The following is a 25,652-nucleotide window of genomic DNA, read 5'->3' as shown; positions in this document are numbered from 1 at the left end:
TAGGCTTCAGAACTGCAGTCGCAGCTCTTGACCAATTAGAAGCGGAGACGTCAGAGGGTCGCGCCGCTGCAGGAACCCGCTCTGCCTGAGCTACCGCGAGTCGTAGAAAATTACGTAATGATAGGGGGCCGGTCAGAGTGAGGGCACCTGAGGTACACGAAATCCCTCCGGCTTGCCCACTTCCTCGGACTTTCCACCAATCAGGAGCTTCCTCCCCAGCACCAACCAATTGTGGGAGAGAAGTTTTCTCTGTGCTACAAGCCCGGAATTTCATTCATACCCAGCTACGCTCCGAATGAGGGAGCAGAGGTACAGCGGCCGAATGAGCGGGAACAGTTATTCCACGACAGGTGTACATCAGACGCATTGCTTAGGCCTCTTATTTTACGTTCTCCAAGCAACTCCATAAGACAACTGTCTCGGAAAGGCTACAGTGATGACAGACCGACTTAAGTTCGGATTCGGCTTCCACCGCTTCTTAGTGGTGAGACCCCCCACCCCTCCCCTCCTCCCAAGTCTGAGCCTAAGTTTATCAACAAAACTGAGGCAAAGCACTTATTGGCAGTTCTGTGAATTTTAACAGGGAAAAAAATCGGTAAATCATCGGGCGTATAGTAAGCAGGCAACGAGTAAAAACCATTATTACGGTTCAAGCAGAACTCTTTGATTCCCCATCTTCCCCCCGATTTTGCTCATCGCAGTTACACAACACCTAGTTGATCAGGACAAAGCTCTAGGTGTTTTTATTCCTTTCATGCATAAGCTATCCAACTCTTTACCTCTGAACTATACTTCAATCTGTTCACTACATCTCCATTACCAGGATTCTGGGTCACAGTGTATCTCTCACCTGGCCAGGGCCTCCTAACTGGCCTCCTTGCCCCCACTCTTAATATCTTCCTTAATATCTTAATATATGTTGCTCATCCCTGTCCCTCACTCCATGATTTAAAAAAAAAAAAAAAAAGCCCGGGCGCGGTGGCTCACCCACCCAAAGTGTAATCAGCACTTTGCGAGGCCGAGACGGGCGGAGCACCTGAGGTCAGGAGCTTGAGACCAGGCTGGCCAACATGATGAAACCCTGTCTCTACTAAAACTACAAAAATTAGCCAGGTGTGGTGGCGAGCGCCTGTAACCCCAGCTGCTCGGGAGCCTGAGGCAGGAGAATTGCTTGAACCTGGGAGGTGGAGGTTGCAGTGAGCCGAGTTCCTGCCACTGCACTCCAGCCTGGGCGACAGAGTGACACACCGTTTCAAAATAAATAAATAAATAAATAAATAAAAAATAAAAGTCAAATCATGTCACTCCCCTGTTTAAAAGCCTGGAATGGCTCTTCATTTGCACTTAGAATAAAATCCCAACTCCATGCTAGTTTACAAAGCCGTTTATGCTTTGTAAACCTATTATACTCCTAACCATGCTCCAGCAAAACTTGCTTCCTTTCTTTTTTTTGTATACACCGAGCTCATTCCTGCCGAGGGCCTTTGTGCTAGCTATTGCCTTTGCCTGAAACACTGTACTCTCCCTCATGTGCTAGCATGGGTGATTCCTTCTTTAACTCATATATCAGCTTAAAGGTCGCCACCTCAGGGAGGACTTTCCCTGACCAATTAATCAAAATTAGCCCCTACTGAGTTCCTTACTCTTACACCACCCTGTTTTCTTTTCTTTATTTCTTTTTTTTTCCTGAGACAGAGTCTCGCTCTGTCGCCCAGGCTGGAGAGCAGTAGCGTGATCTTGGCTCACTGCAACCTCCGCCTCCTGGGTTCAAGCGATTCTCCTGCCTCAGCCTCCCGAGTAGCTGGGACTACAGGCGCACACCACCATGTCCGTCTAATTTTTTTGTATTTTTAGTAGAGACTGGGTTTAACCATGTTGGCCAGGCTGGTCTCGAACTCCTGACCTCAAGTGATCCACCCGCCTCAGCCTCCCAAACTGCTGGGATTATAGGCATGAGCCACCACGCCCGGCCTCCTATTTTTTTCATCCCTGGTCCCTAGACTTACACACTGAAATGCCAGTTTCATGAGAGCATGAATCTATATTGTTCTGTTCACAGCTGTATAAAAGAGCACCTTAGAACAGTGCCTGGCATGGAGTAGGTGCTGAAGTACTTTTGAGTCAAAGTTACTGGGATGGTGATCATTGTATGGCTGGCTTCTTACTCTTCAGGCCTCAGCTCAAATTTGGCACCACAAAGTGGCCTTCCCTGACCCCCCGCCCCAATTTTCATAGCATTTTTCACTATTTGAAATTATCTTATTTTATTCCTTAATATGTATTGTCTATTCTCCCTGTTATACACTCCAAGAAAGCAAGGACCTTGTCTGTTTTGTTCACTTCTGTCATTCTAGTGCGTACCACTGTGCCAGACACACAGTGGTACTCAACAAGTAACAGCAGGGTCACTGAGCTAATAAGTGGTGCAGCCTGGATCCTAACCCAGGTATGTGTAAATTTGAAGCCCCTGCTTTCAGGAAGATACCCAGTAGGGACAATGGCCACACAAAAGAGGAACTAAATTGCATTTTACGGTCTAATTTACCTTTGTATCTATCACACCTAGAGAGGCCATAAAGGAACTAAAAAAAGCAGGAAATGTCCAGAAATTCTGAAATGGAAGTTTAAAGGAAGGAGTGATGGCTTCTGCCCGGTAATCTGAAAAAGCTTCATGAAGGTGGAAACACGGCAGGAAAGCTAACAGAGTTAAGGAGCTGACACCGAGGGGCGGCAGGGAGTGCCAGTCTTGCTTCAGACGCCCTGGGCTTGAATCTTGGCTCCATCTCTTGTGTGACCTTAGGGTTGTGTTATTTTCACCTTTCTAGGCCCTAGTTTCTTCATCAGTAAAACGAATGTACTTAAAGGGCTCTTGACAAGACTTAGGAAATACACATAAAGTTGCTTTACACAGTGCTGAGACCATAGTAAGTGCTCTATAAATGCAAACTGCCATTAGTATTAGTAGCATTTCTGATGAAAGCGTGCTGATCTTACCAGCAGCTATTAGCTGACCACAGTTATGCGGAGCAACAGAAAGCTTCCTACCCCCCCGGGTTGAAAGGCGCGACACCAGAAAGCGGTGGGTCTGGCTCCAGGTGCCACTGTTGCGGACTCTCGACCCCAGCCTAGATTTTCTCAGACGCTTGAGCCGCAATCTGCCGCTCTAGCAACGGGGTCCGCCAGGTCTCGGTGGTGCGGGGCCTCGCGCTTGCGCAGTGGGCACGGCAGCGGCGCGCGGAGGAGGGTGAGGGGCGGGCCCAGCGAGCGGACGCCGGGCGCGGCGGCGCGCGGAGAAGTGCGGCGGAGCGGCGCCTGCATTAGCAGGTAACCGCGCACTGGGTGCGCCGGGGAGGGCGGTGTGGGTTAGTCAGGCTTCAGGCTTGGGTCGAGGAGGCTGCCTTCGCGCTTACCGCGTCTCGGGTCAGCTACCGACCCTGTCAGCGTGAGCGTCTGTGTTCCTGAAGTCCGGTCGCGACGCTGGGGCGGCCCACGCAGAGTCCCACCCCGGATCGCGTCCAAGGTGGCGGCGAAGCCCCAGGACAGCCGCCTTGGACCCACGCCGATCTCCCGACCTGAAAAACCTTAACCTCAGGGCACCGCCAGGGTCAGAGCCCCAGTTTATGTTTGTTTACGGATTGAGCCCTCTCGATTCTCGGAGTTAGAATGGAGGGCTCATCTCTGGGATCTGGCTGTTGACAGGGGCTCAGTACCTCACAGAGCAGCCTCTTTACATTTTGGAGAGAACCGAGGTCTTCCTCGCCTAACTTTTATCGTCTGGTTTTACTCAAAACGACTCCAGTCTCTCCACATTGGAAGACAGCTGCCTTTTGCCCTTCCACGCCCTTCTTTTGAGTTTACTCTCCCTGGTTCTTTCACCTGGCTTCCTGTCTAAGACTCTTTATTCTGGAAATTCTCTTCTGGATCCACTCCCGTTTTTAAGAGATTCTCCCAAAACTGGATTCCTAGAGTACATTTATAGTAATGCAGTTCTCAAGTCAGACCTGAATCCTAATCTAGAGCTGTGCCAGCTAAGTAGGTGTCCTTAGGGAAATCCCTTAACTTCGCTAAGCCTCATTTTTTTTTCATCGAAAATGTGTACAGTCTTAAGTACTGTATCTCCAGGTGGTTGTGAGGATGAAAGGAGGTGAAGTATGCAAAATCATGAGCATGATACCTGGTACATAGTAAGCACTCGATTGATGTCAGTTATTTTTCCGAACAGATGATTCTCGAGAGAGGCACAGTTGGCAGGCCGGGTGCGGTGGGTCACGCCTGTAATCCCAGCACTTTGGAAGGCCAAGGCAGGCGGATCACCTGAGGTCAGGGAGTTCAAGACCAGCCTGGCCAACATGGTGAAACCCTGTCTGTACTAAAAAAATACAAAAATTAGCCTGGCGTGGTGGCGGGAGCCTGTAATCCCAGCTACTTGAGAGGCTGAGGCAGGAGAATCGTTTGAACCTGGGAGGTGGAGGTTGCAATGAGCCGAGATCGAGCTATTGCACTCCAGCCTGGGCAACAGAGCGAGACTCCGTCTCAAAAAAAAAAAAAAGAGAGAAGCACAGTTTTCTTAGAATCAAATGCAAAATATAATAATAGCAATAAAATTTTCATCAGTCATATAATTGATTTTTTAAATTAGTTTTTATATTTTTAAAAAAATGATGTTGCTAATGTTGAGGAGTGCACAGTGAAGTAGGTACCAGAGTCAAAGGATGGTACAATTTGATAAAATCATTTGGAAGCAACAAGGATATATTTCACAAGCTTTAGAAATGTCAATTACTTAATTTCACAAAAGTACATCTGAAAATTTTCACACAGAAATAATTCGTAATGCAGAAAATATGAAGAAAGATGGTAGTGATAGCATTATTTACACTTGTGACAACATTTGAACTTTTGTAATGAAATTTTTTAACATACACAAAAATAGAATCAGTGAGCCCCCCACGTACCCATTACCCCACTTCAATAATGATCAGTATTTTGCCTATGTTGTTTTTGTGAAAAATCTGAAACCTAGTAAGGTGTCTAAAAATGGGAGAAGAGTTGAATAAAATGGGATACATTTATTTAGAATACTATAAAGCTTTTGAAACAGTACAGAATTGTGTATGTAACATCACAACTGTGAAAATTCAAAAACTAACATCTAATTTATGTGTAGAAAAAAGACAAAGAGGCCAGGCATAGTGGCTCAAGCCTGTAATCCTAGCACTTTGGGAAGCTGAGGCGAGGGATCACTTGAGGTCAGGAATTTGAGATCAGCCTGGCCAACATAGTTAAACCCCATCTCTACTAAAAATACAAAAATTAGCCAGGTGTGGTGGTGGACGCCTGTAGTCCCAGCTACTGGGGAGGCTGAGGCATGAGAATCGCTTGAACCTGGGAGGTGGAGGTTGCAGTGAGCTGAGATCATGCCACTGCACTCTAGCCTGGGCAACAGAGGGAAACTCCATCTCAAAAAAAAAAAAAAAAAAAGAAGAAGAAGAAGGAAATACAATAAAATATTAATTTGTTGCCCTTTACTTGTGGGATTGTGGATGGTTCCCTGTTTTTGTATTTTATAAATATTCCATAAAAATCATGTATCATTGTTACAACAAAAAAAAATCTAAAAAATCACACCTGAACTGAGCAGGATCAAATATGCTAGAGTGGGTTCACTGTTATAGAGAATAAAGATGCTGTAACTTCTCCTGATCTATTCTTGCAGTCTACATTTACATTAGCATTCTTGCCTGCTGCCTCACATTAGCACTTCATATTGAATTTATATGCTCAGCTAACATGTCCAGATCTTTAACCAACTGTCTTCTGTGTAAGTGATTTAACTCTGTGAAATGTATTTCCCTTATTTTGAACAGTGTTCCCCCTCAGAGTAGAAAAAGGTTTCCTGTGATAGGATGACTTTTTTCCCCTCATTCATTTTCTTCCTGGGATCTCACTCAGACTTCATGCATCTACACACACTTCCTAAAACAAGGATTTCTAACAATTCAAGTAAGATAATTTTGTTTTATCACAATTTTTTTCTCAGATTATAATGAGATCTGATTAAAAAAACTGTTCTGCTCTTGGTTGGTGAACTAGAGCTGCCTTTTAAGATGATGATGTAGTACATATGACACAGTTGAGAGAGAGGGGTCACCTTCCAAGAAAAAATGCATAAATGAGACTTGTTTCAAATCAGTTTATGAAGAAACTTTGTTTCCTAGGTATGCAAAGAAGCCTTTTCACCCTGATGTCCTTAGAGATAATATGGATCAGTCCAGAGTTCTCCTCTGGGTGAAAGCAGAACCCTTTATAGTGGGTGCCTTGCAGGTCCCCCCTCCATCCAAGTTTAGTCTTCACTATCTCAGGAAGATATCCACCTATGTGCAAATCCGGGCCACAGAAGGAGCTTACCCGCGCCTCTACTGGTCTACATGGAGGCACATCGCTTGTGGGAAGCTGCAGTTGGCCAAGGACCTGGCGTGGCTTTACTTCGAAATATTTGATAGTCTTTCAATGAAGACACCTGAGGAGCGCCTGGAATGGTCTGAGGTTCTGTCCAACTGCATGTCTGAGGAGGAAGTTGAAAAGCAGAGAAATCAGGTACGGATTGATATGTGTGTATACTTAATTACTTTTGGAAAGAAACCATTCTTTTTTAAATTAAAAAATGTTTTTGCTTATTACAATTTTTAGATAGAAACAGAGTTTCACTTTGTTGCCCAGGCTGGTCTTGAACTCCCGGCTTCAAGCAGTCTTCCTGCCTCGGCCTCCCAAAATGTTAGGATTACAGGCATGAGCCACCATGTCTGGCCCAATAAACCATTCTTAATTTTTGTATTAGCTGTAAAATTTTAGGTTTTAGGCTAATGGCCATTGTAATCTCAAGTTATCATTTGAGTTTTAGTAGTTCCAGTTTGGCAGTATTTCATGTATTCAATGAATTAGTCCTTACTTACCAGACCTTACTCACCTACTCCCAAAGCAGTAATGTTACAGAGACCCTGTTATTGAAAAAGGGAAATATTTTACTGACTTTAAAAAGATTTTGGGGTGAATGAGTGTTATGAACAACTGATATGTTACAGTCAGAGCACCTGACTATTTTAAAATGAACATCTGCTACATGATGGGATTCAAAGATGATTAGGATAGCATCTCAACCCTCATGGAGCTTATGGACTAGTAGAGGAAGCTGGTATTAAAAAAAGATGCTATTTAATAGTGTGATATGTATAATAAAAGAATACACAAAGTACAGAAATTGAATAAAGAATGATTTATTTCAGTGATAAGGAAAGACTTCACAGAGAAAGTATATTAATCAAGTAGGCTGATTATAGTAATAGACAACCCAGTATTTCAGTGGCTTAGAACAGTAACAGTTTATTTCTCATTCAGGCAGCAATCTAACACAGTTGCTCCTGGTTGGACAAATCTCTGGGCTGCTGTCATCCAAGCGATGACCAGGGATCCATGCTTCTATCACTTGGAGTCACTGTTAATCAGCTTTGTTAAAAGCTGATTTCATTCATTAAGAACAAACAAATGAAATTCCAGTGGCTTACAGGGGAAAAGGTTTATTTCTTGCCCATTTTACATGTGGGCTTCATTTTTGCTATGGCATTTGTCCAGGCTCCGTGTTTCCCCATTTAGGGACACAGGCTAAAGAAATAGCTTCTGTGTAGATCATTCCCATTCTTATAACAGAAGGGAAGATCAACAGAATGGAGGAAACTCATGATGTCTCTTTTTAAATTCTTATTTTATGTATACAGCTCAATCAGTTTGGGGATAAGTATATGCTGTGAAACCATCATGACCGTCAAGGACATAGACATACCCATCACCCCCCATAGGTTCCCCCTCCTCTTTTATGCTTGTTATTTTGTGTGTGTATCTGTTAAGAACACTTAACATAAGATCTACTGTCTTAGAGAATTTTAAGTATACAACATGTAATTGTTATCTCTAGGCGGTATGCTGTAGAGTAGATCTTCAGAACTTAATTTTCTTGCATAACGGAAACTTTGTAGCCTTTGACCATCAACCTCCCCATTTCCCCCTCCTCCTAGCCCTTGTCAGTCACCCTTCTGTCTGTTTTTATGAGTTTGACTATTTTAGATTCCACATATAAGTGAGATTACATAGCTTTGTCTTTCTGTGTCTGGCGTGTTTTACTTAGCATAATGTCCTCCAGGTCCATCCATGTTGTTGAAAATGGCAGGATTTCTCTCTCTTTCTGTTTTTAAGAGACAGGATCTCACTCTGTTGCCCAAGCTGGAGTACAGGGATGTAATCATAGCTCACTATAGCCTGGAATTTCTGGGCACAAGCAATCCTTCCACCTCAGCCTCCTGAGTGGTTAGGACTACAGGTGTGTGCTATCATGCCTGGCAAATTTTTGTATTTTTTTCATAGAGGTCAGGATCTCACTGTGTTGCCCAGGCTGGTCTTGAACTCTTGGCCTCAAGTGATCCTCCCACCTCAGCCTCCCAAAGTGTTGGGATTACAGGCATAAGCCACTGTACCCAACATGATTTCTTTCTTTTTTAAGGCCAAATGGTACTCCATTATATATGCATGCCAAGTTTTCTTTATCTAGTCATCCATCTGTGGACATTTAGGCTGCTTCCATATCTTGGCCATTATCAATAATGCTGCAATGAACATGGGAGTGCAGGTATTTGCAGGATCCTGATTTCAATTCCTTTGGATAAATACCCAGAAGTGGGATTGCTAGATCGTATGGTAGTTCTCTTTTTTATTTTTTGAGAAACCACTATACTATTTATTTATTTTTTTTTTGAGACGGAGTCTCGCTCTGTCGCCCAGGCTGGAGCGCGGTGGCGCGATCTCAGCTCATTGCAAGCTCCACCTCCCAGGTTCACACCATTCTCCTGCCTCAGCCTCCTGAGTAGCTGGGACTACAGGCACCCACCACCATGCCCGGCTAGTTTTGTGTATTTTTTAATAGAGATGGGGTTCACCATGTTAGCCAGGATGGTCTCAATCTCCTGACCTCATGATCCGCCTGCCTCGGCCTCCCAAAGTGCTGGGATTACAGGCGTGAGCCACCGCGCCCGGCCCTATTTTTTATAATGGCTGTACCAGTTTACATTCTCACTGACAGTGTACCAGGGTTCCCTTTTCTTCACATCCTTACTAATACTTGTTAATCTTTTGTTAACAAGTGTGAGGTGATATCTCATTGTGGTTTTGCTTTATATTTCTCTAATGAGTAGTGATGTTGAGCACCTTTTCGTATACCTGTTGGCCATTTGTATGTCTTCATTGGAGAAATGTCTATTCAGGTCCATAGTCCATTTTTTAATTAGGTTATTTGGTTTTTCTTGCTATTGAGCTGCAGGAGTTCATTATATATTTTCGATATTAACCCCTTACCAGATACATGGTTTACCTTTTCTTCTGTTGATTGTTTCCTTAGTTGTGCAGAAGCTTTTTAGTTTGATATAATTCAACTTATTTTTGCATTGGTTGCCTGTGCTTTTGGTGTCATATCCAAACAATCATTACCAAGACCAATGTCAAGGAGCTTTTTCCTTATTTTTCTCTAGGAGTTTTACCATTTCACCCCTTACATTTAAGTCTTTCCTCCATTTTGAGTTGATTGTGTATGGTATAAGCTATGGTCCCAATTTCATTCTTTTGCATTTGTAGATCCAGTTTTCTCAGCATCATTTATTGAAGAGACTATTCTGCGTTTTGTATTCTTGACACCCTTGTGGAAAATTAGTTGACCATATATGTGTGAGTTTGTTTCTGGACTCATGATGCCTCTTAAAACTTTTGCTCAGATTTGACATAAACTAAGACTACTTTTATTCCATTGGCTAAGGCATTATTCCCATGAAGATGGGAAGGTAAACCACCTTTCAGGAGATAAGGAAAATCCCATGGCCATGGGTAGGGCTGTATAAGCCTCTTAGAGAATTTGAAAGTGAGCAATAGTAAATAATAATACAATTTGCCACAGCCATGCCCACTGGGGCCTCAGAGTCCTTTTGCTTTCATTTCTTTTGAGAGTTTTATTATTAGGCTTGAAAGTGATAAAGATAAATTCATTCACATTCAGTTGCTGTAATTCATTTATGCCATATCTAACTCCAAAGGAAGATGGGAAATGCCATCTAATTACATACCCAGGAAGAAGAAAAAAAGTAGTAAGCATCTAGCAGTCTCTGCCTTATAGGGTCATATCTAAACAACGTTTTGGAAATTGAAAAGTTTATCAAGCAATGAAGAGGGAAAGGGCAGTACATTTATTCATTAATCAAATATTTATTATCTACTATGTACTCGGTATAGTAGTGGATGCTGGGCATATAGAGATGAATAAAACCTTCAGGAAGTTCCAGATTTTTTGAGTGCTTTTTATGTACCAGATGCTTTGCTAGTTACTAGGAGTATAAAAATGGAAAAGGCAAGGATCCTATAGTCTCCATGAAGAAATAATGATAATGTAACAAATAATTGTTTAAAATGGAAGTATATATAAAATCAGGGAATTACACTTAGTGAAAAAAGCCAATCCCAAGAGGTTACATACTATATGATTCTATTTACCTAATGTTCTTGAAATAATAAAATTATAGAGATGGAGAACAAGTAAGTGGTTGCTAAGGGCCTAAGAAGGGGTGAGTGGGACAGAGAAGTGCATATGGCTGTAGAAGGGCAACATGAGAGATTGTTCTGTTGATGGAAATGTTCTCGTATCTTGACTGTATCGGTGTCAATATCCTGATTGTGATATTGTCCTATAGTTTGGCAAGGCGGGTAAAGGGTACATGGGATCTTTCTGTGTGAATTCTCACAACTATATCTCAATCTACAGTTATCTCAGAAGTTCAATTAAGAAAGTAAAAATTTATAAAATATACAAATTCATGGGGCTTCACATTGTTAGTTGATTAAATAGGTCTGGGTGATCCTGAGAATCTGTACTTTTAAGTTTCTCAGATGATAGTGTTTTTAGCCAGGTTGGGAATCAGGGTGAATATAGCTGTAGACCCAGATGTATTACTTTACTTTTTTGCCTCTCCTGTATGGGGGTGGGTAGATGAGGGTAATCAGGGGCTTCAAGTCGTGAGCTTCAACCACACCCTTCCTTGAATAAGAAATGACTATACATCTATCAGACCAACAGTGTTTTTGTCTTTAAGTGAAACACCCCTTTAAGAATTTGCTGAAAACCTGAGGCCTACTCCCTTGAAAAATGCACATATACCAAAAAATTACATACAATTTCAGGTATTGCACTGGTATCCTAAACTTTCTTGACAGGTTTGTGAGTCTTAAGTTAGACCTCTGTCTTAACTGAATTTTCTTCTTTCTTACTTCCATCTACTTATTTATTCAAATTACTAAGGTTGGTTTTTTTTAAATTGTAAGTTTAAACTTCTGAAATAATGTACTTAAAGTATGTACTACATCCTTTCATCAGTTTTGAGAGATAATTTCTATAGCCATAGATGTTATACAGCTTTCTGTGAAGGTAAATTATTCCACTTTAATTAGTTTTAGGAACTCTTGGCCAGGCACAGGGGTTCACGCCTGTAATCCCAGCACTTTGGGAAGCCAAGGCGGGCAGATCACCTGAGGTCAGGAGTTCAAGACCAGCCTGGCCAACATGGTGAAACCCTATCTCTACTAAAAATACAAAAAAATTAGTTGGGCGTGGTGGCACATGCTTGTAATCCCAGCTACTCAGGAGGCAGAGGCAGGAGAATCTCGCTTGAACCAGGAAGGCGGAGGTTGCAGTGAGCTGAGATCGCATCATTGCACTCCAGCCTGGGCGACAAGAGTGAAACTCTGTCTCAAAAAAAAAAGAAAAAGAAACTCTTACATCTGGGTACCAGAGACATACATATCAAAACTGGCAATGTTTCTAAGTTGGTTTTTTTAGGATCAGCCAACTTGTGAATTTACTATGTCTACTTAGTTGTTAGACTAGTGGTTGATGTTTTAAAACGTCTATTCATCTTTTATTTTCTTCTTGGACAGCTTTCAGTGGACACGCTACAGTTTCTGCTCTTCTTATACATTCAACAGTTGAACAAGGTCTCCCTAAGGACATCTTTGATTGGCGAAGAGTGGCCCAGTCCCAGAAACAAATCTCAGTCTCCTGACCTGACTGAAAAATCTAATTGTCATAATAAGGTACTCCTTATATCTTGATCTCATTCTCTAAAAGGGACAATTTGTGTGGGAGATGGTTCACTTGCATTAAAAATTATGATGAGATTTCTTACATAAGCCAGTGATTTGATGGCTTGTTTTGTTTTTCACTTTTTTTTTAAATTATAAAACAAAATCAGTGTGTACAGTCTTAATCACAATAGAGAACTGGTTGCAGTGCCTTCACTGGTAGGAAAACCACTTGCTGATTTGTGGGCAGATCATCACTATGTTCAATTAGCACTGCCGTTTTCAACATGTCAATCAATGCGAATCAACTTATGTGACTAAGGAGCATCAAGAAGATGGAGTGCTTGCAAAATCTTTTGAAATCTACTGAAAAAAATTATAAAAATATCTTCTCATGTTGTTTAAGTAATTACATACGTGACAACCCAGAAGCTAAATTTAACTGCCTCACATTGTGAATTTTAGAGGATGTCTTATTGCTTTTTTCTTTCTGTTTTTGTAAAGAAAACCAAAATATTTTTACTTGTTCTTGTGTAAGTATATTGAAAAACTTTAAGTAAAATGTAGGCCTCAGTATTAATGCCATGTACAAGCTCTTTAAAAATGTTCTAAAGCTAAGAAAAAATATCTCTTTGCTATTTGGAACTTTTCTAATCTCCTTTTTAATAAGTCTCTCCTCCTTTATATTCCATGATGCTATTACTCTTGGTTTTGCTTCTAACTCTCTCTTCTCACTTTCTTTCATAAATTTCTCTCCCCTGGCCCTTACAAGCAGCTATTCTGTCTGGGTCAATTTTCCCTTCTCTCTTAACTTATTCATTCAATGTAATTCTTTATATTCCTACGACTTCATATATCTCAGTGACTCCCAACTTTGTGTCCTTCCCAGAGCTCTTGCTTTATAGTTACCGCTTTATATAGATGCCCTAGCTATAGCTTAAATTCAGAATGTTCAAGCCCAGATGTATGAGAGATACCAGTCACTACCTCTCTCTCCACATGTAGTTCCTGCAGAATGGGCACTGTTAGGAGATGGTGTTTTGAGCCAAGGTAGCCTCCATTCATTTCTGCCTCTATCATTTATTATCATTTAGTCATACGATTTTAGGCAAGTCAGTTAACTTCTCTAGGCCTTGGCTTCCCTTCTGTAAGTGAGGATAATAATGCATGTTTCTGAATGACTATGAGACTTCAGTAATATATTAGCATGGGACTTATTGCATAGTAAGCACCAATAAATGGTGACTTTGGTTTATACTACAGCACGACCTCTCTGAGTAACTGATTGGACCGGGGTGGACACTTGAGTAGCCCATTTATTGCTATACATTTGAAATTGGCCAGATTTAAAGTGACGACCTGGGCCAGTCAGTTCCCCCAGGAAGAAATTATGCATTGGTGATAGGTGTTTGAACTAAAAACGCATTTGACATTGGGACTGGAATAGCCATCATGCTTGTTAATGAACTGGAATTCTAAGGGATTAGAAATTCTGAGGCCAAGCCGGGCGGATCACCTTTATAAGGTTTATATAACTACCTAATTCCTTTTGGGGGATGAGGCAGAGTATAAATACAAAATAATTAAAATATAGAAATTTTAGATCTTGTGGAATCTCTTTATTAAGAGTGCTTTCTTTTAACTTTTTTTTAGAACTGGAATGATTACAGTCACCAAGCTTTTGTCTATGATCATCTGTCTGATCTCCTCGAGCTGCTTTTAGATCCAAAACAACTCACTGCATCATTTCATTCAACCCATAGTAGTCTAGTGTCTCGAGAAGCTGTTGTGGCGCTCAGCTTCCTTATTGAAGGTACAATAAGTAGAGCCAGGAAGATCTATCCACTTCATGAACTTGCACTGTGGCAACCACTGCATGCAGATAGTGGCTTCTCAAAGATCTCTAAGACTTTCTCTTTCTACAAACTGGAAACCTGGTTGAGGTCCTGTTTGACTGGGAATCCATTTGGTACATCAGCTTGCCTCAAGTCTGGAAAGAAATTGGCTTGGGCTCATCAAGGTATTTTTTAATATTTTAATCTACATTAAATTGAATGACAACTTAAGGAACCTAGTGTTTTCTAATATATTAGTGATCTCGTGTCTTCTCTAGAAGACCTAAAAAATACTGCTCCTATAAAAGAGAAAAAGGAACATCTGTCTTTTGTGCATGACTTTTTCTCTCAAGGATTATACTAAAATATTAAAAATGATAGTAGGATTACAAATTATTTTTATCTTCTTTTACTGTTATTTTTCTAAATAACCATATATTATGTACCTGGTACATGTGTAATAAAAGTAAACGTATGTAATAAAAATAAACAAGAAATGTTTTAAAAGAAGAAGAATAATAGCATACTCATGTGACCTCCCAGTATTTCAGCGGTGTTGTTTACAAGGGTGTCCCGGTGGCTTGCAGGGAGGTACAGTCTGAGAAGGCAGTCACGTAACGGTGTGACTGTGTTAGGAGAACCTGCGCGTATTTTTTGAGTGTCAGTTTGTGCAACACACTGTGTGGGATAGGAAGATGTGCTCTCAGGTAGTAATGATCTTAGGAGTAAAGACATGAACTCAGGCTGGGTGCGGTGGCTCACACCTGTAATCCCAGCAATTTGGGAGGCTGAGGTTGGCGGAAGGTGAGGAGTTCGAGACCAGCCTGGCCAACATGGAGAAACCTCAGCTCTACTAAAAATACAAAAATTAGCCAGGCGTGGTGGCATGCACTGGTAATCTCAGCTCCTCAGGACGCTGAGGCAGGAGAATCTCTTGAACCTGGGAGGTGGAGGTTACAGTGAACTGAGATTGCACCACTGCACTCCAGCCTGAGTGACAGAGTGAGACTCCGTCTCACAAAAAAGAAGAAAAAAAGGCATGAACTCAAATAGGATTAATGGGATAATGTGGTAAGTTAGGAAGGGTACAGAATTAATATTATGGTAATTTAGAGAGGTGAATTACGTTTGGGATGATAAAGTAAAGCATCTTGGAGGAGAAGATATTTGAGTTAGGACAGCTTTGCCACTTACTAGCCATATGACCTTAGGCATAGACCTTAACTTGAAGCGTAGACACGAAAAAGTATCTTAGACTTATAGGCAATCTTAAATTCATTATAGGTTTTAAAATTTTTTTTATAACAAAAATGAAAATTCCAAACATACAGAAAGGAATAGAGAATAGTATAGCAAATACCTCTATCCAAAGCCCAGATCTAACGTTTTTGTCCCTACATGTGGTATCTAATTTGAGACATATATACATGTAGACGTGTAACCTCATATGTTTGTTTGTTTTTCTTTGATTTGATACTGCCTCATCTATTTATATGTTTTCTTAAATAGTTGAAGGGACCACCAAAAGAGCTAAGATTGCTTGTAATACTCATGTGGCCCCTAGGATGCACCGACTGGTAGTGATGAGCCAGGTTTACAAGCAGACACTGGCTAAGAGCTCAGACACTCTGGCGGGGGCACATGTAAAGATTCATCGTTGCAACGAATCTTTTATATATCTGCTCTCTCCCTTACGGTAAGCACAGTTTTCATGGTGTTCTGATGTTCTGACATTTTCTTTGGACTGTGACTGATTCTTTTTTTGCCATCAGATAATAATATTTTAGTCAAATTTTTAAAATCTTATTCAGAGGACTTTACCTCATTTTTTCCTTTTTTCAGATCTGTGACAATTGAGAAGTGCAGGAATAGCATCTTTGTCTTGGGCCCTGTAGGGACTACACTTCACCTCCACAGTTGTGACAATGTTAAAGTCATTGCTGTTTGCCATCGTTTGTCCATCTCTTCTACAACAGGTTGCATCTTTCACGTTCTTACGCCTACACGCCCACTTATTCTCTCTGGGAACCAGACAGTAACTTTTGCCCCTTTTCATACACATTACCCAATGCTAGAGGACCATATGGCCAGGACTGGCCTTGCTACAGTGCCTAACTATTGGGATAATCCAATGGTTGTGTGCAGAGAGAACAGCGACACAAGAGTCTTCCAGCTTTTACCACCTTGTGAATTCTATGTATTTATTATTCCCTTTGAAATGGAAGGGGACACAACAGAGATACCCGGGGGTCTTCCATCTGTATATCAGAAAGCACTGGGTCAAAGAGAACAGAAGATACAGATCTGGCAGAAAACTGTGAAGGAGGCTCATTTGACAAAGTGAGTATTTTTTACAAGTAACAGTTTGTGTTTTTTGTGAAACTCCATGGAGAAACAAATTAGTCTGCACATTTTTACAGCTGTGCTAAAGTAATAAAAAATGTAAGGCTGGGCGCGGTGGCTCACGCCTATAATCCCAGCACTTTGGGAGGCCGAGGTGGGTGGATCACCTGAGGTCAGGAGTTTGAGACCAGCCTAGCCAACATGGTGAAACCCCGTCTCTACTAAAAATACAAAAATTAGCTGGGTGTGGTGGCGTGTGCCTGTAATTCCATCTACGTGGGAGGCTGAGGCAGGAGAATTGCTTGAACCCAGGAGGCGGAGGTTGCAGTGAGCCAAGATCGTGCCATTGCACTCCGGCCTGGGCAACAAGAGTGAAACTGTGTCTCAAAAAAAAAAAAAGTAATGTGTTTTTAAATTAAGGTTTGGATTTCAAATTAGTATTTCAAACACTGTTAGGTTGGGGATGGGAGTGGGTAAATATCCAGTATTAGACTCCCTTTTCTTAAGAAGCTAAAGTTTAGTTGGCAAATATAAGACTTACATGAATTTAAAAAATCATACATAGAGTATGCCACATAATCCAATACCATTCTAGGCACCTTCTATGTGCTAACTCATTTATTCTTTGTAATAACACCTTATTACAGGTGAGGAAACCGAAGAACTGAGGAATTAAGTACTTTACCCAAAGTCACACAGGAGCCAGGATTCACACCTAATCAACCTGGTTCCAGAGGTTCTTTTTTTTTCTCTGTTCTGACTTCTCAGTAACCAGAGGTTCTTAAATGCCTCTAATGTCTTCATTGTTTTCTTTCAAATATTGTCATACCATATCATACTGTACAATAATAACATTATAATAATGTGTTGTAAAAATGGATGATCATGAAAAAACATTCTTTTAAAGCAGTTCTGTTGTTTGAATGGTTCTAGTATTTAAATGGTTAGATTCTCTACACTTGATCTCAGCCAAAAGGCCAAGAAACGATGAAGTGCTTAGATTCTCTTACATGTGAAAAGCTCCTGCATATACATGTGCAGACTGTGGGATGTAAGCACTTAATAAATGCTGACTCTGAGTCAGTGTTTTCAAGTGGTGAGATCCACAGTGATCCCAGAAACAATGAAAGTAGTCAGTTTAACTTTGGGAATATAGGAAGACAGAAATCAGTTTGAAACAAATTGCCAGTGTGACCCTTTTAACAGTGATTACATCATGTCATTTCCCTGCTCTGACCCCTCTAATGGCCTCCCATCATACTTCAAATAAAATCCAAAGCCTTTACCATACTTACCAGGCTCTCTCTTCCTCAATTTCTGCCGTTCTTTTCCTCATTTCCTCCTTCCCGGCATACAGCAGTCATCTTACTATTACTTAATCACTGCCCTCTGACCAAAGACCACCAGGAACACATCTATAGAACAAAGGTGGATTGTGTTGACTCATGGCAAGGAGGGAGAGAAGTGTGTTTCATCTCAGTAAAAGGTTGGGGAACATGGAAAACTGTGTTTCAACTCAGTAAACAGGTGTTAAAAGGAACTTATCGTTGGATTTTGGCTTGTGTTAATGATTTGGGGGAGAGTTCTAGGAAGCAGGACTATCTGGAAGTGAGAGTAATGTGTGATTTGACAGTTTAATAACTTTTATATCTAAGGCAGGAGGAAGGAAGGAAGAGCTAAAACTATAATTGTAAAGAAGTAGCCACTCCTCCAGGAAAGGAATGTTTAGTGATTTTATGGTTTGGGTCACAACATTTTTTTGGAGGTTGGTGTGGGGGTTTCTGAACTGAGATACGATTACGGAGTGATCTTGTTCTTTCTTTGGTCTATCATCATCCCAGAGTGGCTTTGTCTAATGGTGGTGGTTTAAGGTATTGTTTATGTTCAACAAAAGAATACAATAGCAAGTCCAGATCCTACACCAAGGCCTAGCTGACAGTGCTAGGCTAGCTCCTGGCTGTCAGGAGCTACTCTTCTCTTTCTTATCATGAACATGTGAAATACGCTCTCACTTTGGAACCTTTGTACTTTTTTGGTCTCTTCTGCCTGGTATATTCCTCTCCAAATACTCATTCTGCTTATTCCATCATTTCATTTAGACCTAAGCTCAAATATTATCTTAGGGAGGCCATCTCTCTCCATTCTTTCTCTGAAATAACATTTCCAGAATTGCTATTCCTTCACCCTGCTCTATTTTTCTCCATGGCACCTAGAACTACTTAACTTTATATTATATTTTTATTGTATTGTATTGTATTGTACTGTATTTATTTTGAGACAGCATCTCGCTTTGTTGCCCAGGCTGGAGTGCAGTGGTGTGATCTTAGCTTACTGCAGCCTCCACCTCCTGGGTTCAAGCGATTTTCCTGCCTCAGCCTCCCGAGTAGCTGGGACTTAACAAACATGTGCTACCATGCCTGGCTAATTTTTATATTTTTTGTAGAGACAGGGTTTCACCATGTTAGCCAGGCTGGTCTTGAACTCCTGGCCTCAAGCGATCCACCCGCGTTGGCCTCCCAAAGTGCTGGGATTACAGGCGTTAGTCACCATGCCCGGCCTATTTATTTTATTTTTACCTATCTTTCCTACTAGAATATATAGTCTTCAGGAGCATGGATTACACAGATCACAATGTGAATGGTGCCCTCTGGAGTCGTGAAGTGTCATCCTGCTTCAACAGGGGCCTTGTCTCTTCTCTATACATTTATCCCCATCAGTCAGAACAGTACCCAGTGTTCACTTGGTCCTTGGTAAATATCTGACAATGAAAAAGTAGAAAGAGGACATTGTATCTGATCAATCCTTTGTGGGGTGGGGGTGTCCAGTGTACTCTGAACAGTGAGAACAAAAGGATAACAAGAAATAATTAATCATTTAACATTATCCTATTAAAATATTGTATAATTGCTTAGAGTACAATTTATATGAATTCATGTTCTTATATTCTTTTTACTCATAATCGCAATTTTAGGGATCAAAGGAAGCAGTTCCAGGTACTGGTAGAGAACAAGTTTTATGAATGGTTGATTAATACAGGACATCGCCAACAGCTGGACAGCCTTGTACCCCCTGCAGCAGGCTCCAAACAAGCAGCTGGATAAGGATCTTACATGCAGACACTGGTAGGCATTTATACCACTTAAAACAGATTCTTTTGGGGAAATCTTTCAAGCATAAAAAAAAGGCACAGAATATTATATACTAAACATGCCCAAATTTTTTCTACCGCTCCTACCAGCATACACGGACCTTTATGTACCCATATTTACCATATTTTATAGTGAGAAAACCAACCAAAATATTCAGATGGAGCCTATAGAATTTGGGGCCAATATAATGGCCAAATTTTGTCTTATTTTGCTTTTTGCCTGGGACAAGTTGTACTGTCCAAAGATACCACATTCCCCCATACATAGTTCTAAGTTTTATTCTCCTTTTCTAAACCTTTCCTCTTATCCATTCCCCTCACAAAAACCAATTTACAAATTAGCTGATCTTTGCTAATTACACATATTAGCAGTAATAAATTACCAGAATTAATCCAAATGAAGATTTGATTACTGAACACTAGAAGATCATGGATTAAATAGAAGAGAATATGCATACAAACAAATTTACTGGAAGTAAATTTAATCCAGACATATGGTATTCTTTTTTTTTTTTTTGAGACTGAGTCTCTGTCTCTCGCCCAGGCTGGAGTGCAGTGGCGCCATCTCAGCTCACTGCAGCTTCCGCCTCCTGGGTTCAAGTGATTCTCGCACCTCAGTCTCCGGAGTAGCTGGGAAAACAGGCATGCACCACCACAGCTGGCTAATTTTTGTATTTGTAGTAGAGGCTGGGTTTCACCATGTTGGCCAGGCTGGTCTCAAAACTCCTGACCTCAGGTGATCCACTTGCCTTGGCTTCCCAAAGTGATGGGAGTACAGGCATAAACCACTGCGCCCAGCCCCAAACGTATGGTATTCTTTTTTAATAGAGATTAGTATACTGTGTTAGTTTAAAGTTTTTTTTTTTTTTTTTTTTGAGGCAGAGTCTCCCTCTGTCACCTAGGCTGGAGTTGCAGTGGCACAATCTCAGTTCACTGCAAGCTCCGCTCCCCCGGTTCAAGCAATTCTCCTGCCTCAGCCTACCAAGTAGCTGAGATTACAGGCACGCACCACCGTGCCCAGCTAATTTTTGTATGTTTAGTAGAGACTTAGTTTCACCATGTTGGCTGGGCTGATCTTGAACTCCTAAACTCCTGAACATCGCCCACCTCGGCTTCCCAAAGTGTTGGGATTACAGACGTGAGCCACCGGAACTGGCCTAAAGTATTTTTAAATGCTAGCAATAGAAAACAGACAAAGGACAATAATAGATAGTTCACAGAAAAATACTTAGAGACACAAAAATGCTTACTTAAAATTAAAGAAATGTAAAATACTATTTTTTATTAGACTGGCAAAGAGCAAAAGCTGGTAGTACACAATACTGGCAAAACATTTCGTTTACCACTAGGAAAGTGTATATGTAACCTCTGTGGGGGGCAGTTTGACAAAATCAAAATTAAAAATACAAATTTTCTCTGACTCAGCGATTTCTTTTTTCTTTTTCTAGAGATGAGGTCTAATTCTCTTACAGGCTAAAGTGCAGTGGCACAATCATAGCTCACTGCAGCCTCCAACTCCTGCGCTCAAGCAATCCTGTCTCAGCTGGGACTGCAGGTGCATGCTATCACACCCAATTGATCTTTTTATTTTTCTTTAGAGACAGGGTCTCACTTTGTTGTCCAGGCTGGTCTTAAACTCCTGGCTTAAAGCGTTCCTCCTGCCTCGGCCTCCCAAAGTGCTGGGATTACAGGCATGAGCTACTGCACCTGCCCTGATTTAGCAGTTTCACTTATTATTAATAGAATTTATCTTACAGATAAACTCATGTATGTAGGGATCAATTAATTAATTAATTAATTTATTTATTTATTTTTGAGATGGAGTCTCACTCTGTCCCCCAAACTGGAGTGCAGTGGTGCGGTCTCGGCTCACTGCAACCGTCACTTCCCAGGTTCAAGTGATTCTCCTGTCTCAGCCTCCTGAGTAGCTGAGATTACAGGAACCGGCCACCGCACCCGGCTAATTTTTGTATTTTTAGTAGAGACGAGGTTTCACCATGATGGCCCAGGCTGGTCTTGAACTCCTGACCTCAGGTGATCTGCCCACCTTGGCCTCCCAAAGTGCTGGGATTACAGGCATGAGCGACTGCTTCTGGCCTATTTATTTAATTTTTAAATTGACAGATGAATTGTATATATTTATCATTTCCAGCATGATGTTTTGAAATATATATGCATGTGGAATGGCCAAATCAAGCTAGTTAACATTAGAACCTCACATAGTTGTCATTTTTGCAGTGAGAACACTTAAAATCTACTCTCTTTGTTTTTTTCAAGATCACACAGTATTGTTATTAACAACAGTCACCATGTTGTACATTAGATCTCTTCAATGTATTCCTCTTAGCTAACCGAAATTTTGTAACTGAAGATGTTTGATGTGGCATTGTTTAAAAAAACTGTGGACTAGAAACACCCCAAATGCAGTGTATTTATATGCTAATTATATGCCTAACAATCTTTGAAAGAATATAAAGAAATTATAAACAGTGTTTGTCTTTGAGGAATGAGATTGGGTGTCTAGGGTGGGAGAAAACTTCTTAAAAATTTTATTGAGATAAAATATTACCACATAACATTATGGGAAGTAAATTCACCTTTTTAAAGTAAAGAATTCAGTAGCTTTTAAGTATATTCAGAAGTTTGTGCAACTATCACCACTAAAAAATCTAGAACATTTTCATCACCTTCAAAATAAAGCTCGTACACATTGTAGGCCACTCCTTATTCCTCCAACCCCTACATTTCCTCTTCCCCTTAGTCCTTGGCACCACTAATCTACTTTGTCCATTTTGGACATTTTATGTAAATGGAATCATATAACATGTGGCTTCTTGTGTCTGGGTTCTTTCAGTTAGTGTAGTGTTTTCAAGATTCATCCATGTAGCCATGTATCAGTACTGCATTCTTTTTCATGGCCAGATAATATTCCATCGTGTGGATCTACCATTTTGTTTATCTGTTGATCAGTTGATGGACATTTGGCTTGTGTCTACTTTTCAGCTGTTGTGAGTAATGCTGCTGTGTACATTTGTGTACAAGTTTTTGTGTAGACATTTGTTTTTATTTCTCATGGATATATACCTAGAAGCGGAATTGTGAGGAATATATTTAACTTTTAAAGGAATTGCAGTTTTCCAAAGCTGTAAAAGTGTATTTTTTGCTTTAAATATTTACATTTCTTAAGGGTGTATTTTTTTTTAAAGAATTTAGCATGCCTGTAATCCCAGCACTTCGGGAGGCCGAGACGGGTGGATCACGAGGTCAGGAGATCAAGACCATCCTGGCTAATACAGTGAAACCCTGTCTCTACTAAAAAATACAAAAAATTAGCCGGGCGTGGTGGCAGGTGCCTGTAGTCCCAGCTACTCAGGAGGCTGAGGCAGGAGAATGGCGTGAACCTTGGAGGCGAAGCTTGCAGTGAGCCGAGAGCACCCCACTGCACTCCAGCCTGGGCGACAGAGCGAGACTCCGTCTTAAAAAAAAAAAAAAAAAAGAATTTAGCAATATTTATTAATAAATGCTGAGAATTAAGAATTAGCAATTTGGCTGAGCGCAGTGGCCTATGTCTCTAATCCCAGCACTTTGGGAGGCTGAGGTGAGAGGATCACTTGAGGCCAGGAGTTTGAGACCAGCCTGGGCAATATAATGAGACCCTGTCTCTACAAAAAAATTAAAAATTAGCTGAGCATGGTGGCACATGCCTGTAATCCCAGCTACTCTGGACACAGACTGGAGGATCTCTTGAGCCCAGAAGTTCAAGGCTGCAGTGAGCTATGATTGCACTGCTGTATTCCAGCCTGGGCAACAGAGCGAGACCCTATCTCTTAAAAAAAAAAAAAAAAATTACAAATCTGATGGAGATTATGCAAAGGAAATGTGAACTATAAGCGGGTAAATAATTTTGTTTAATCTTCACTGCTTAACAATTTTTTACATTCATGTATGAATTTCTCTTTTATTATGATCTAACATTACACCTAGCAAAAAGGAATATTATTAACTTTAAACTTTGTGTATCTTATCACTCTAATCTATCATTTGACCTTGATAATTTATGTGATTTTTTAAACGTAGAGTTTTAAAATTATTTACATGAAGCAATAGAAAATTAAGTGATTAATATTATTTTTTCTTTGATCTTCAGGGCCCTGGAAATACAAGGATAAATGGAGGATGGTGCTCATCTTGAAACTTGAAACTAAATTGGGAAGGTGCTATTGCTGCTTAAGAGACATTGGGACTTTTCTGTCTTTTTTTTTTTTTTTTTTTGAGGCAGAGTCTTGTTCTGTCGCCCAGGCTGGAGTGCAGTGGCGCGATCTCGGCTCACTGCAAGCTCTGCCTCCCGGGTTCACGCCATTCTCCTGCCTCAGCCTCCTGAGTAGCTGGGACTACAGGCGCCCGCCACCACGCCCGGCCAATTTTTTTTGTATTTTTAGTAGAGACGGGGTTTCACCGTGTTAGTCAGGATGGTCTCGATTTCCTGACCTCGTGATCCGCCCATCTCGGCCTCCCAAAGTGCTGGGATTACAGGCGTGAGCCACCGTGCCCAGCCTTCTGTTCTATTTAAGAACTTTGATTTCCATTCCATTTTCATTTATTACTGTTTAGGCCGAATTTTCGCTAAACTTCTGACTTTCATATAAACATATTGCTTATAGAACATCAGAAGACTCGTCTTTGTGATGCCCAAATGAAAAAGTTGGTGAAGGTAGTACCATTGTATGTATGTTAATATTAAAGCAACTGAGTGTAGATTTGCAACTATAGTGTGTATCTTCATTTGTGTGATGAAAGAGTTTTATTCTTTCTAGAGTTAAATAAGAGTTTTATAGTTCTTTGTAACTATTTAAAAGGAAATTGCTACTCCTTTTAAAAAATAATTGGAAAGGAAGTATGATTTGTTGGTATATAGACATAGAAATAGTTTTATACTATATTTTAGTCCTTAAAGTATGGAACTTAATGAAATTGTTTAAAAAAATCTTTATTTTTCACTTCCTGCTTCAAATTTTCAATAAACAAACTCTAAAGAATAATTTCCTTTTTTTGTAAAAGATAAATCTTTAGTTTTAATTTTAGAAAAGGTTTCCAGTGTCATTTCTCAAAATAACTAGTAAAGTTTACATTTACTTGGGAAAACCTTCTTTCAGATAAATGAGTGAAATTACCAAATTACCAAATGAGTGAAATGAATCAGATTGCTGATAAACATTGGTTCATATGCTCTCTGGCCATTTAATTAGTATTTCTATCAAAAAACTCTTTTGTATTTCTAAAGTAAAAATTAACCCTCAGAATGTTTAATTCTAATTGAAGTTTACATGGTTTTTATTTTAAGATGAAATTCAAGGAGCAGACCATTACCAAATAAACACTGGAGTAATAGAAATATATTTTAGATATTGCTATTTGTTAATGAAATAAATGGTACTCAGATACTTTTTTTAAAGTTTTAAAGTTTTATAAAATTTTATAAAATTCAGAAAACCAAGCATATAGCTTAATATTTTCTCAATAATCTTTATATTAAGGCACATTTGCCATTTTCTGAATTGACCATAATACATCCCATTTATTAAAATATTTGTTAGTTTTGTTAACAGAAAGATGAGGAAGTTTGACTTTTGAGAATATACTTGATTTTGAGAATATACTTGATCAGTTAAAGTTAAAAATGGAGAAAAGTTAATTTATTGGGTTTTTTTGTATTTACATAAGATGCAATCTCATTCCTAAAGTCAGAGGTGTATTAGGGCCAAAAAATGTTCTCCGATCATGTTCCAATGTTGTATTGTGGGCAAAGAAGACCACCTAGCCAGTAGCTTGTTGTGTTTAGTTAGCTAACCCTTGGCAAATTCAGGAGTCCCACAGTCACTTTTCTACATACGGTGGCACCCTTCTTATGGATTAGAGCTCTTTTTTTAAAAAAAATTGTGTTTTGAAAAAAATTAAATAATAGTTGCAAGAATAAGTCAGTGAACTTTAACATACCCTTTATCTAGATTCCATTCACCAGTTGTTAACATTTTGCTACATTCTCTTTACCACTCAACATGATAGTATTGTTTTATTTTTGCTCAACAATTTGAGAATAGGTTGCAGACATCTTGAACCTTTCTTCTAAATGGTAGCATACATGTCCTGGAAACAGACATACTCTT

The 25,652-nt window shown here is 40.2% G+C and overlaps 1 protein-coding gene across 3 annotated transcripts, besides 3 other annotated features; it reads left to right on the top strand.

The window, feature by feature from the left end:
- TBCCD1 (TBCC domain containing 1) lies at positions 48-24,524 on the top strand. Of its 3 annotated transcripts, none has more exons than NM_001134415.1 (8): positions 48-484; positions 6,219-6,597; positions 12,019-12,174; positions 13,816-14,182; positions 15,507-15,693; positions 15,840-16,337; positions 19,312-19,462; positions 23,636-24,524. In NM_001134415.1, the coding sequence occupies exons 2-7, from the start codon at positions 6,262-6,264 to the stop codon at positions 19,439-19,441; spliced, it is 1,674 nt and encodes a 557-aa protein (NP_001127887.1). In that variant the 5' UTR covers positions 48-484; positions 6,219-6,261; the 3' UTR covers positions 19,442-19,462; positions 23,636-24,524. The 3 variants fall into 3 exon arrangements, with proteins under 3 accessions (NP_001127887.1, NP_001273678.1, NP_060608.1); NM_018138.5 differs by lacking the exon at positions 48-484 and adding an exon at positions 3,252-3,324; NM_001286749.2 differs by lacking the exon at positions 6,219-6,597 and having other exon boundaries at positions 273-484.
- Positions 3,059-3,348: a silencer, noted in NCBI's record as "silent region_14986". NCBI's record gives its function as "represses an Ori minimal core promoter by ATAC-STARR-seq in GM12878 lymphoblastoid cells {active_cell/tissue: GM12878}" and the evidence as "EXISTENCE:reporter gene assay evidence [ECO:0000049][PMID:35858748]".
- Positions 17,181-18,380: an enhancer, noted in NCBI's record as "BRD4-independent group 4 enhancer chr3:186270000-186271199 (GRCh37/hg19 assembly coordinates)". NCBI's record gives its function as "activates an origin of replication core promoter dependent on BRD2, P300/CBP, MED14 and CDK7 cofactors, and independent of BRD4, by STARR-seq in HCT116 cells {active_cell/tissue: HCT116}" and the evidence as "EXISTENCE:reporter gene assay evidence [ECO:0000049][PMID:35650434]".
- Positions 17,597-17,891: a silencer, noted in NCBI's record as "tiled region #2674; K562 Repressive non-DNase unmatched - State 15:Elon". NCBI's record gives its function as "represses a minimal TATA promoter and a strong SV40 promoter by Sharpr-MPRA in K562 cells {active_cell/tissue: K562}" and the evidence as "EXISTENCE:reporter gene assay evidence [ECO:0000049][PMID:27701403]".

The sequence above is a fragment of the Homo sapiens genome, chromosome 3, assembly GCF_000001405.40.
Source record: "Homo sapiens chromosome 3, GRCh38.p14 Primary Assembly".
Lineage (NCBI taxonomy): Eukaryota > Metazoa > Chordata > Mammalia > Primates > Hominidae > Homo > Homo sapiens.
Note: the sequence above shows the minus strand (reverse complement) of the source record. Positions and strands in the feature narration are given on the sequence as shown.

Coding starts and splice junctions, on each gene's coding strand:
- TBCCD1 (NM_001134415.1), top strand. CDS start 6,262: ATGGATCAGTCCAGAGTTCTCCTCTGGGTGAAAGCAGAACCCTTTATA. Junction 15,694..15,839: donor TATCTGCTCTCTCCCTTACG/GTAAGCACAGTT, acceptor TCCTTTTTTCAG/ATCTGTGACAATTGAGAAGT. Junction 16,338..19,311: donor AAGGAGGCTCATTTGACAAA/GTGAGTATTTTT, acceptor TCGCAATTTTAG/GGATCAAAGGAAGCAGTTCC.